General features: G+C 48.0%; 1 long non-coding RNA gene across 1 annotated transcript in view, besides 1 other annotated feature; it reads left to right on the forward strand.

Moving 5' to 3' along the window:
• The window catches only part of IDH2-DT (IDH2 divergent transcript), a 31,441-nt gene extending 29,543 nt beyond the window's left edge, over positions 1–1,898 (forward strand). The window contains exon 3 of the long non-coding RNA NR_149130.1: positions 1,723–1,898. This is a non-coding gene — a long non-coding RNA (IDH2 divergent transcript). The remainder of the gene's footprint in view (positions 1–1,722) is intronic.
• Positions 10,023–10,317: an enhancer, noted in NCBI's record as "tiled region #4454; K562 Activating DNase matched - State 5:Enh". NCBI's record gives its function as "activates a minimal TATA promoter and a strong SV40 promoter by Sharpr-MPRA in K562 cells {active_cell/tissue: K562}" and the evidence as "EXISTENCE:reporter gene assay evidence [ECO:0000049][PMID:27701403]".

The following is a 10,626-nucleotide window of genomic DNA, read 5'->3' on the forward strand; positions in this document are numbered from 1 at the left end:
TAAAAATATAAAAATTAGCTGGGCATGCTGGTGGGCACCTGTAATCCCTGCTACATGGGAGGCTGAGACAGGAGAATGGCTTGAACCCGGGAGGCGGAGGTTTCAGTGAGCCGAGATCATGCCATTGCACTCCAGCCCGGGTGACAATGCAAGACTCTGTCTCAAAAAACAAAAAAAGAAAATACATTCTTAGAATTGACCTCCCTGTAGTCAACATAGATGGAATTTATTGCAAGCATTGGTCCTTTTCCCTTGAAAAAGATTTGCCTGTTCAATAATTTAGATCTGAGTTTCATTAGGAGGGAAATAGGCTTCCGTTCTGATCTATCAGTAGTGGTTGCATAGGAGCTCACCTGGAAAGAGTTCTGCGATCAACTAGTCAGGCCTGCCAAGGGCCAGGCAGTGGGAGAGTTAAAGCTTGTGTGCTAAACATTGTGCAGTCAGCCCTCAGTATCTGTGGGGGATTGGTTCCAGGACCTTCCTTGGGTGCCAAAATCCATGCATGCTCAAGTCCCTGATATAAAATGGCATAGTATTTGCATATAACTTACCCACATCCTCCCATATACTTTAAATCTCTAGATTTTACACATAATATGTAATACAATCTAAATGCTATGTAAATAGTTTTTATGCTGTATTGTTTGGGAGAGAATGACAAGGAAAAGGGTACGTGTTCAGTACGGCACAATGATTTTTTCAATTTTTTCCAATTTTTTTTTTTCTGGAGACAGAGTCTCACTCTGTCACCCAGCCTGGAGTGCAGTGGCACCAACAATAGTTCACTGCAGCCTTGAACTCCTGAGTTCCAATGATTCTCTTACCTCAGCCTCCCAAGTTGTTGAGACTACAGGAATGCACCACCATGCCTGGCTTTTTTTTTTTTTTTTTGGTAGAGATGGGGTCTTGCTGTGTTGCCCAGATGGGGTCTTGCTATGTTGCCCAAGCTGGTCTCAAACTCTGGGCCTTAAGCGATCCTCCTGCCTCAGCTTCCCAAAGTGCTGACATTACAGGTGTGAGCCACCGTGCATGACCCTTCAAATATGATTTTTCTGTGCTTGGTTGAGTCCATGGATGTAGAATCCACAGATACAGCACCCACAGATACTGTCAGGCCTCTGAGCCCAAGCGAAGCCATCATATCCCGTGTGACCTGCACGTATACATCCAGATGGCCTGAAGCAACTGAAGATCCACAAAAGAAGTGAAAATAGCCTTAACTGATGACATTCCACCATTGTGATTTGTTCCTGCCACACCCTAACTGATACAATATATTCTCCCCTGCCCTTAAGAAGGTAATTTGTGGCCAGGCGTGGTGGCTCAAGCCTGTAATCCCAGCACTTTGGGAGGCCAAGGCAGGCAGATCCCAAGGTCAGGAGATCGAGACCATCCTGGCTAACATGGTGAAACCCCGTCTCTACTAAAAATACAAAAAATTAGCCGGGCGTGGTGGCGGGCGCCTGTAATCCCAGCTACTCAGAAGGCTGAGGCAGGAGAATGGCGTGAACCTGGGGGGCCGAGGTGGCAGTGAGCCGAGATCACGTTACTGCACTCCAGCCTGGGCGACAGAGCAAGACTCTGTCTCAAAAAAAAAAAAAAAAAAAAAAAAAAAGAAGGTACTTTGTAATATTCTCCCCTGCTCTTAAGAATGTACTTTGTATGCCTATCCCTATAAGAACTAATGATAATCCCACCACCCTTTGCTAACTCTTTTTTCAGACTCAGCCCACCTGCACTGAGGTGAAATAAACAGCTTTATTGCTCACACAAAGCCTGTTGGTGGACTCTCTTCACATTGATGCGCGTGACATTTTGTGCTGTGACTTGGATTGGGGGCCCTTCCTTGGGAGATCAATCCCCTGTCCTCCTGCTCTTTGCTCCAGGAGAAAGATCCACCACGACCTTGGGTCTTCGGACCAACCAGCCCAAGGAACATCTCACCAATTTTAAATCGGGTAAGCGGCCTCTTTTTACTCTCTTCTCCAACCTCTCTCACTATCCCTCAACCTCTTTCTCCATTCAGTCTTGGCACCATCCTTCAATCTCTCCCTTCTCTTAATTTCAGTTCCTTTCCTTTTCTGGTAGAGACAGAGGAGACACATTCTATCCGTGAACCCAAAACTCCAGCACCAGTCATGGCCTCGGGAAGACAGTCTTCCCTTGGTGTTTAATCACTGTGGGAATGCCTGCTTGATTATTCACCCATGTTTCAGAGGTGTCTGATCACCGCTGGGAAGCCTGCCTTGATCGTTCACCCTTAGTGGCAAGCACCACTTTCCTGGGGGGCAACACCCCCCACCCCTTCTCTCCATGTCTCCACTCTCTCTTTTCTCTGGGCTTGCCTCCTTCACTATGGGCAACCTTCTACCCTCCATTCCTCCTTCTTCTCCCTTAGCCTGGCAAGAACTTAAAACCTCTTCAACTCACACCTGACCTAAAACCTAAACCCCTTATTTTCTTCTGCAATGCCGCTTAACCCCAACACAAACTCGACAGTGGTTCCAAATAGCCAGAAAATGGCACTTTCGATTTTTCCATCCTACAAGATCTAGATAATTCTTGTCATAAAATGGGCAAATGGTCTGAGATGCCTGATGTCCAGGCATTCTTTTACACATCGGTCCCTCCCTAGTCTCTGTTTCCAATGCTACTCATCCCAAATCCTCCTTCTTTCCCTCCCACCTGTCCCCTCAGTCCCAACCCCAAGTGTCACTGAGTCTTTTCAATCTTCCTTTTCTACTGACCCATCTGACCTCTCCCCTCCTCCCCAAACTGCTCCTCCTCAGGTCTTTCCCTGCCAGGCTGAATCAGGCTCCAATTCTTCCTCAGCCTCCGCTCCCCCATCCTATAATCCTTCTGTCACCTACCCTCCTCACACCCAGTCCAGCTTACAGTTTTGTTCTGCAACTAGCCCTCCCCGACCTGCCCAACAATTTCCTCTTAAAGAGGTGGCTGGAGCTAAAGGCATAGTCAAGGTTAATGCTCCTTTTTCTTTATCTGACCTCTCCCAAATCAGTTAGCGTTTAGGCTCTTTTTCCTCAAATATAAAAACCCAGCCCAGTTCATGGCTCCTTTGGCAGCAACCCTGAGACGCTTTACAGCCCTAGACCCTGAAGGGCCAGGAAGCCGTCTTATTCTCAATATGCATTTTATTACCCAATCCGCTCCCGACGTTAGATAAAGCTCCAAAAATTAGATTCCGGCCCTCAAACCCCACAACAGGACTTAATTAACCTCACCTTCAAGGTATGCAATAATAGAGTAGAGGCAGCCAAGTAGCAAAATATTTCTGAGTTGCAATTCCTTGCCTCCACTGTGAGAGAAACCCCAGCCACATCTCCAGCACACAAGAACTTCAAAATGCCTAAGCCGTAGATGCCTAAGCTGCAGCGGTCAAGCCTTCCTACAGGACCTCCTCCATCAGGACCTTGCTTCAAGTGCCAGAAATCTGGCCACCGGGCCAAGGAATGCCAGCAGCCCAGGATTCCTCCCAAGCTGTGTCCAATCTGTGCAGGGATCCACTGGAAATCAAACCACCCAGCTTGCCCGGCAGCCACTCTTAGAGCCCCTAAAGCTCTGGCCTAAGGCTCTCTGACTGACGCCTTCCCAGATCTTCTTGGCTTCGCAGCTGAAGACTGACACTGCTCAATCACCTCAGAAGCCTCCTGGACCATCACAGACGCTTTGGGTAACTCTTAAAGTGGAGGGTAAGTCAGTCCCCTTCTTAGTCAATATGGAGGCTACACACTCCACATTGCCTTCTTTTCAAGGGCCTGTTTCCCTTGCCTCCATAACTGTTGTGGGTATTGACGGCCAGGCTTCAAAATCCCTTAAAATTCCCCCACTCTGGTGCCAACTTGGACAACATTCTTTTATGCACTCCTTTTGTTATCCCCACCTGCCCAGTTCCTTATTAGGCCAAGACACTTTAAATTATCTGCTTCCCTGACTATTCCTGGGCTACAGCCACACCTCATTGCCGCCCTTTTCCCCAGTTCAAAGCCTCCTTCACATCCTCCCCTTGTACCTCCCCACCTTAATCCACAGGTATAGGACACCTCTACTCCCTCCTCGGCGACCGATCATGCACCCCTTACCATCCCATTAAAACCTAATCACCCTACCTTGCTCAATGCCAATATCCCATCCCACAGCACGCTTTAAAAGGATTAAAGCCTGTTATCACTCACCTGTTACAGCATGGCCTTTTAAAGCCTATAAACTCTCCTTACAATTCCCCTATTTTACCTGTCCAAAAATCAGACAAGTCTTACAAGTTAGTTCAGGATCTGTGCCTTATCAACCAAATTGTTTTGCCTATCCACCCCGTGGTGACGAACTCATATACTCTCCTCCTCAATGCCTCCCTCCACAACCCCTCCACAAGCCATTATTCTGTTCTGGATCTCAAACGTGCTTTCTTTACTATTCCTTTGCGTCCCATCCCAGCCTCTCTTCGCTTTCACTTGGACTGTCCCTGACACTCATCAGGCTCAGCAAGTTTCCTGGGCTGTACTGCCTCAAGGCTTCACGGACAGCCCCCATTACTTCAGTCAAGCCCAAATTCCTTCCTCATCCATTACCTATCTCGGCATAATTCTTCATGAAAACACACATGCTCTCCCTGCTAATGGTGTCCGGTTAAATCTATCCTCAAGGAAATCACTTCTCAGTGTTCCATCTGCTATTCTCCTACTCCTCAGGGATCGTTCAGGCCCCCTCCCCTTCCCTACACGTCAAGCTCAGGGATTTGCCCCCACCTAGGACTGGCAAATTGACTTTGCTCACATGCCCCGAGTCAGGAAACTAAAATACCTCTTGGTCTGGGTAGACGCTTTCACCGGATGGGTAGAGGCCTTTCCCACAGGGTCTGAGAAGGCCACCACAGTCATTTCTTCCCTTCTGTCAGACATAATTCCTCGGTTTGGCCTTCCCATCACTATACAGTCCGATACCGGACCGGCCTTTATTAGTTAAATCACCAAGCAGTTTCTCAGGCTCTTGGTATTCAGTAGTAAAATCTTCATACCCCTTACCGTCCTCAATCTTCAGGAAAGGTAAAACGGACTAATAGTCTTTTAAAGACATACCTCACCAAGCTCAGCCTCCAGCTTCAAAAGGACTGGACAGTACTTTTACCTCTCACCCTTCTCAGAATTAAAGCCTGTCCTCAGGGTGCTAGTAAAGCCCATTTAAGCTCCTGTATGGACAGTCCTTTTTATTAGAGCCCAGTCTCATTCCAGACACCATCCCAACTTGAACTGCACCCCAAAAACTTGTCATCCCTGCTATCTTCTGTCTAGTCATACTCATATTCATTATTTTCAACTACTTGTAAATACCCTGCCCTTGTTTACACTGCCAGTTTACACTTTTCCTCCAAACCATCATAACTGATATCTCCTGGTTTTACCTCAAACCGGCACCATTAAGTCTCTCTCAAAGTGGATAGATCATCTTTGCTGACAGGGTGCACTCCAGTACTTTCACCCTGATGAAGTCCTATTCTTTACTTTTATACTCACTCTTATTCTCGTTCCCGTTCTTATGCCACCCTCTACCTCTCCCCAGCTATCTCCACCACACTATCAATCTCACTCACTCTCTCCTAGCCATTTCTAACCCTTCTTTAACAAACAATTTCTGGCTTTGCATTTCTCTTTCCTCCAAAATTGTGGAGGCCTCGACTTACTCACTGCTAAAAAAAAAATTAAAAAAAGACTCCATATATTTTTAAATAAAGTGTTTTTTTTGTTTTTGTTTTACCTAAATCAATCTGGCCTGGTATACAACATAAAAAAACTCAAGGATAGAGCCCAAAAACTCGCCAACCAAGCAAATAATTATGCTGAACCCCCTTGGGCACTCTCTAATTGGATGTCCTGGGTCCTCCCAATTCTTAGTCCTTTAATACCTGTTTTTCTCTTCCTCTTATTCGGACCTTGTGTCTTCTGTTTAGTTTCTCAATTCATAAAAAACCGCTTCCAGGCCATCACCAATCATTCTATACGACAAATGCTCCTTCTAACAACCCCACAACATCACCCCTTACCCCAAAATCTTTCTTCAGTTTAATCTCTCCCATTCTGGATTCCCATGCTGCCCCTAATCCCGCTCGAAGCAGCCCTGAGAAACATCTTCCATTATCTCTCCATACCACCCCCAAAAATTTTCGCCGCCCCAACACTTCACCACTATTTTGTTTTGTTTTTCTTATTAATATAAGAAGACAGGAATGTCAGGCCTCTGAGCCCAAGCGAAGCCATCATATCCCCTGTGCCCTCCACATATACATCCAGATGGCCTGAAGCAACTGAAGATCCACAAAGGAAGTGAAAATAGCTTAACTGATGACATTCCACCATTGTGATTTGTTCCTGCCCCACCCCAACTGATATGATATGTTCTCCCCCGCCCTTAAGAAGGTACTTTGTAATATTCTCCCCCGCCCTTAAGAAGGTACTTTGTACACCTATCCCAAACCTACAAGAACTAATGATAATCCCACCATCCTTTGCTGACTCCTTTTTCGGACTCAGCCCGCCTGCACGCAGGTGAAATAAACGCCTTGTTGCTCACACAAAGCCTGTTGGTGGACTCTCTTCACACGGACACGCATGACAGATACAGCACCCACAGATACAGAGGGCCAACTGTATTTTCCCAGGCTGGTAAGAGGTGGGGTAGGGGATAGAGGTAAGGGTTAGCTTTGCAGATTGGAAAGGAAAGAGATTCTGCAGAAGTCTTATTGGTTTTTCAACCTCTTTTCTGAGTAGTTTAGAGTGGGGTGGTTGCTGGTTGAGAAGGTTTATGTCTGTTTGGCAGAGTCATGGTGGAAGGTATCCAGAAGAGAGAAGTACACACGGCAGCTCTTGGAGTTTTGACACCCCCTCCCCGCCAATCCAGGGCACTGTTAGCAGGGCAGTTACGAAGACTCTTGGGCCAGGCTGCCTCTTGGCACTCAGGCCTGAAGAGGTGGGGAGAGCAATGACCTGTAGAAGTGGCCTGGCAGGAGGAATGCTGAGTTTGTCTTTCTGCCAGAGGCAGACACAGGATGTACTAATTGCAGCCTGGTCCTCTGCTCTAGGTACAAATGGATTTAGATCTTATGGAGTCTGAAGCTTTTAGTTGGATTGGCAGGATAAGGGAGTCCTTTTTAAGAAAGTAATGCGAATTAGGTACTGACCCTTGGAAAGGGCCTATGCAAGTGAAGGGGCCCTGGAGCTCAAGCTTCAGAAAAGGATACATGCAAGAAGAAAATAAAACAGGATGGCCGGGCGCTGTGGCTCACACCTATAATCCTAGCACTTTGGGAGGCTGAGGCAGGAGGATTGCCTCAGCTCAGGAGTTCCAGACCAGCCTGGGCAACATGGCAAAACCATGTCTCCACTAAATATACAAAAAATTAGCCGGGTGTAGTGGCGCACACCAGCTACTCAAGAGGCTGAAGCACAAGAATCGCTTGACCCTGGGAGGTGGAGGTTGCAGTGAGCAGAGATCGCACCACTGTACTCCAGCTTGAGTGACAGGGCAAGACCCTGTCTCAAAAAAAAGAAAAGCATATTTGTTATGGCCAATGATGTAATCAATCATGACCAGGAATCACCCACAAAACGCAAAAGGACAGTGTTCAGAGAGCTTCCAGGTAGGTGAACAAGAAGACTTCCATCTGCTGGGAGGGTGGTTCACCCCAACTCCACAGAGATGGAAGCTCCTGTGCTGAGACCAGCTCGGTCGGGGAGATCCTAACCCAGCGGCGTTAGAGGAATTAAAGACACACACACACAGAAATATAGAGTGCAGAGTGGGAAATCAGGGGCCTCACAGCCTTCGGAGCTGAGAACGCTGAACAGAAATCTACCCACGATTTATTGACAGCAAGCCAGTGATAAGCATTATTTCTGTAGATTATAGATTACCTAAAACTATTCCTTATGGGAAACAAAGAGATGGGCGGAAACAAAGGGATGGGCTCTGGCTAGTTATCTGCAGCAGGAACATGTCCTTAAGGCACAGATCACTCATGCTGCTGTTTGTGGTTTAGGTACGCCTTTAAGCGGTTTTCCGCCCTGGGTGGGCCAGGTGTTCCTTGCTCTCATTCCGGTAAACCCACAACCTTCAGTGTGGGCGTCGTGGCCATCACGAACATGTCACAGTGCTGCAGAGACTTTGTTTATGGCCAGTTTTGGGGCCAGTTTATGGCCAGATTTTGGAGGCCTATTCCCAACACTCCTGTGCTCAGGACCCTTCCAGAGCTCACCCCCTGTATCTCCAGGTAGATCATGTCAGAATTGAATTGAATTATGGGAATCCCAACTGGTGTCTGCTGCAGAATTACTAGTTGTATGGAGAAAAAAAGCCCAAACGTTTGGCATTAGAAGTGTTGTGTTGGCTAGGTGTGGTGACTCACGCCTGTAGTCCCAAAACTTTCGGAGGCTGAGGCAGGAGAATCACTTGAGCCTAGGGGTTCGAGACCTGCCTAGGCAACATAACAATACCCCATCTCTACAATAAATAAAAAATATACTGGCATGGTGCACACCTGTAGTCCTAGCTACTCAGGAGACTGAGGTAGGAGGATCACTTGAGCCCAGGAGTTCAAGGCTGCAGTAAGTCGAGATCGTGCCACTGCACTCCAGCATGAGCAACAGAGATCCCATCTCAAAAACAAACAACAACAATAAAAAACTTTATCTGAAGAATGCAAGTCCCAGGCCAGGCGCAGTGGCTCACGCCTGTAATACCAGCACTTTGGGAGGCCAAGGTGGGTGGATCACAAGGTCAGGAGTTCAAGACCAGCCTGGCCAACATAATGAAACCCTGTCTCTACTAAAAATACAAAAAATTAGCTGGGCGTGGTGGCGGGTGCCTGTAATCCCAGCTACTTGGGAGGCTGAGGCAAGAGAATGGCTTTGACCCGGGAGGCAGAGGTTGCAGTGAGCCGAGATCACACCATTGCCCTCCAGCCTGGGTGACAGAACGAGACTCCATCTCAAAAAAAAAAAAAAAAAAAAAAAAGGATGCAAGTCCCCCTTTCGTTATCAGGCCCAGAGAATCTTTGAAATGCAACAGCAGGTTGGGCGCAGTGGCTCACACCTGTAATCCCAGCACTTTGGGAGGCCCAGGTGGGCAGATCACAAGGTCAGAAGTTCGAGACCAGCCTGGCCAACATGGTGAAACCCTGTCTCTACTAAAAATACAAAAAATTAGCTGTGCATGGTGTACCTGTAATCCCAGCTACTCGGGAGGCTGAGGCAGGAGAATCACTTGAACCCCGGAGGCAGAGGTTGCAGTGAGCCGAGATCGTACCACTGCACTCCAGCCTGGGTGACAGAGCGAGAGAGCGAGACTCTGTCTCAAAAAAAAAAAAAAAATTAGCTGGGCGTACTGGTGCACACGCCTGTAATCCCAACTACTCAGGAGGCTGAGGCAGGAGAATTGCTTGAGCCAAGATTGCACCACTGCACTCCAGCCTGGGCAACAGAGTAAGACTCTGTCTCAAAAAAGAAATGCAACAGCATATGACAGCAGTCACATCTCACCCGCCCCCGACCACCAAGCTAAATAATTACCTCTTGAAGCCACTTGCTATATGGGCTCTAGACTAACTGACACCACCACATAGCCATAAAATGCCATATTCCAGACACTATAACTCATACCCCATAGCTCAACAATGCATAGCCAATCACAAGCCAATGTTATTCCTGCAAACTAATAAGAACATTGTTGAATCACCCACTCCTTGTCCCCTTTTGCCTTTAAAGGCCTGCTTGTAACAAAAGCCGAACACACAGCGTACCCCAAGGCAACTTGAAGTGTGTCCCCAATGGCTGTCCTCACTCTTGGCCCAAATTAACCCTGTATATTGATTTTGCCTCAGCTTCTTTCTCTCGGTCAACACTAGAATGTCCAACAGCCAGTTTGGGGTGGATGGGAGGGCGAGCCCTCTGAGCACCTGCCCTGTTCGTGCTCTGAGTGGGTCTCAGCGGCCGGACGGCTTGCTCTCCCCTCGGGCCGTGAAGTCCTCAGCCTCCCAAAGTCTGACGTCCTTGGAAATATTTGAGGTCCTCCAGACTCCAGCAGCAAGCTTGTGGCAGGAGCGGCAGGGGGATGAAGGAACTGGACTGTGGGAAGTGCCTAATGAGTCAGCCAACTCTGTGGAGGGGAGGGAAGGAAACATGCCGTGTTAAGAGGATCTGCAAGCCAGGGACGGGTGGGGAGTGGAGCCCGTGGAGGATGGACAGCTGGACCATGTGAGTTTCCATTGTGTCGGGGGGAACGTGTCACCCAGAGGTCTCTCCAGCAGTCTCCCCACCCCCACCCCTGCAGATTCCACAGGACCAAGGGCTTCCCTGGACAAGGGCCTGGTCCTTGGAGTCTAAGGCAAGACTCCAATCTCCACAGTTGCCCGAGCTCTCTTCCCTGTTTGGGACTTGGGAACGGGAAGATTTGGGAGGTGAAGAGCTGGGACTCCCTTTGGTGGAGAAAGCTTGGGTTTCAGCACTGACTTGGAGAGACCAAAACAAAGGGTTTTTGGCCAGGATAGAGTGATTCTCAGGAGGAAAGGCAGGAAAGCATTTCCCCATATTCAGGTAAGGAGAGAGAGAAAATTAACAAACT

The sequence above is a fragment of the Homo sapiens genome, chromosome 15 (genome assembly GCF_000001405.40).
Source record: "Homo sapiens chromosome 15, GRCh38.p14 Primary Assembly".
NCBI lineage: Eukaryota > Metazoa > Chordata > Mammalia > Primates > Hominidae > Homo > Homo sapiens.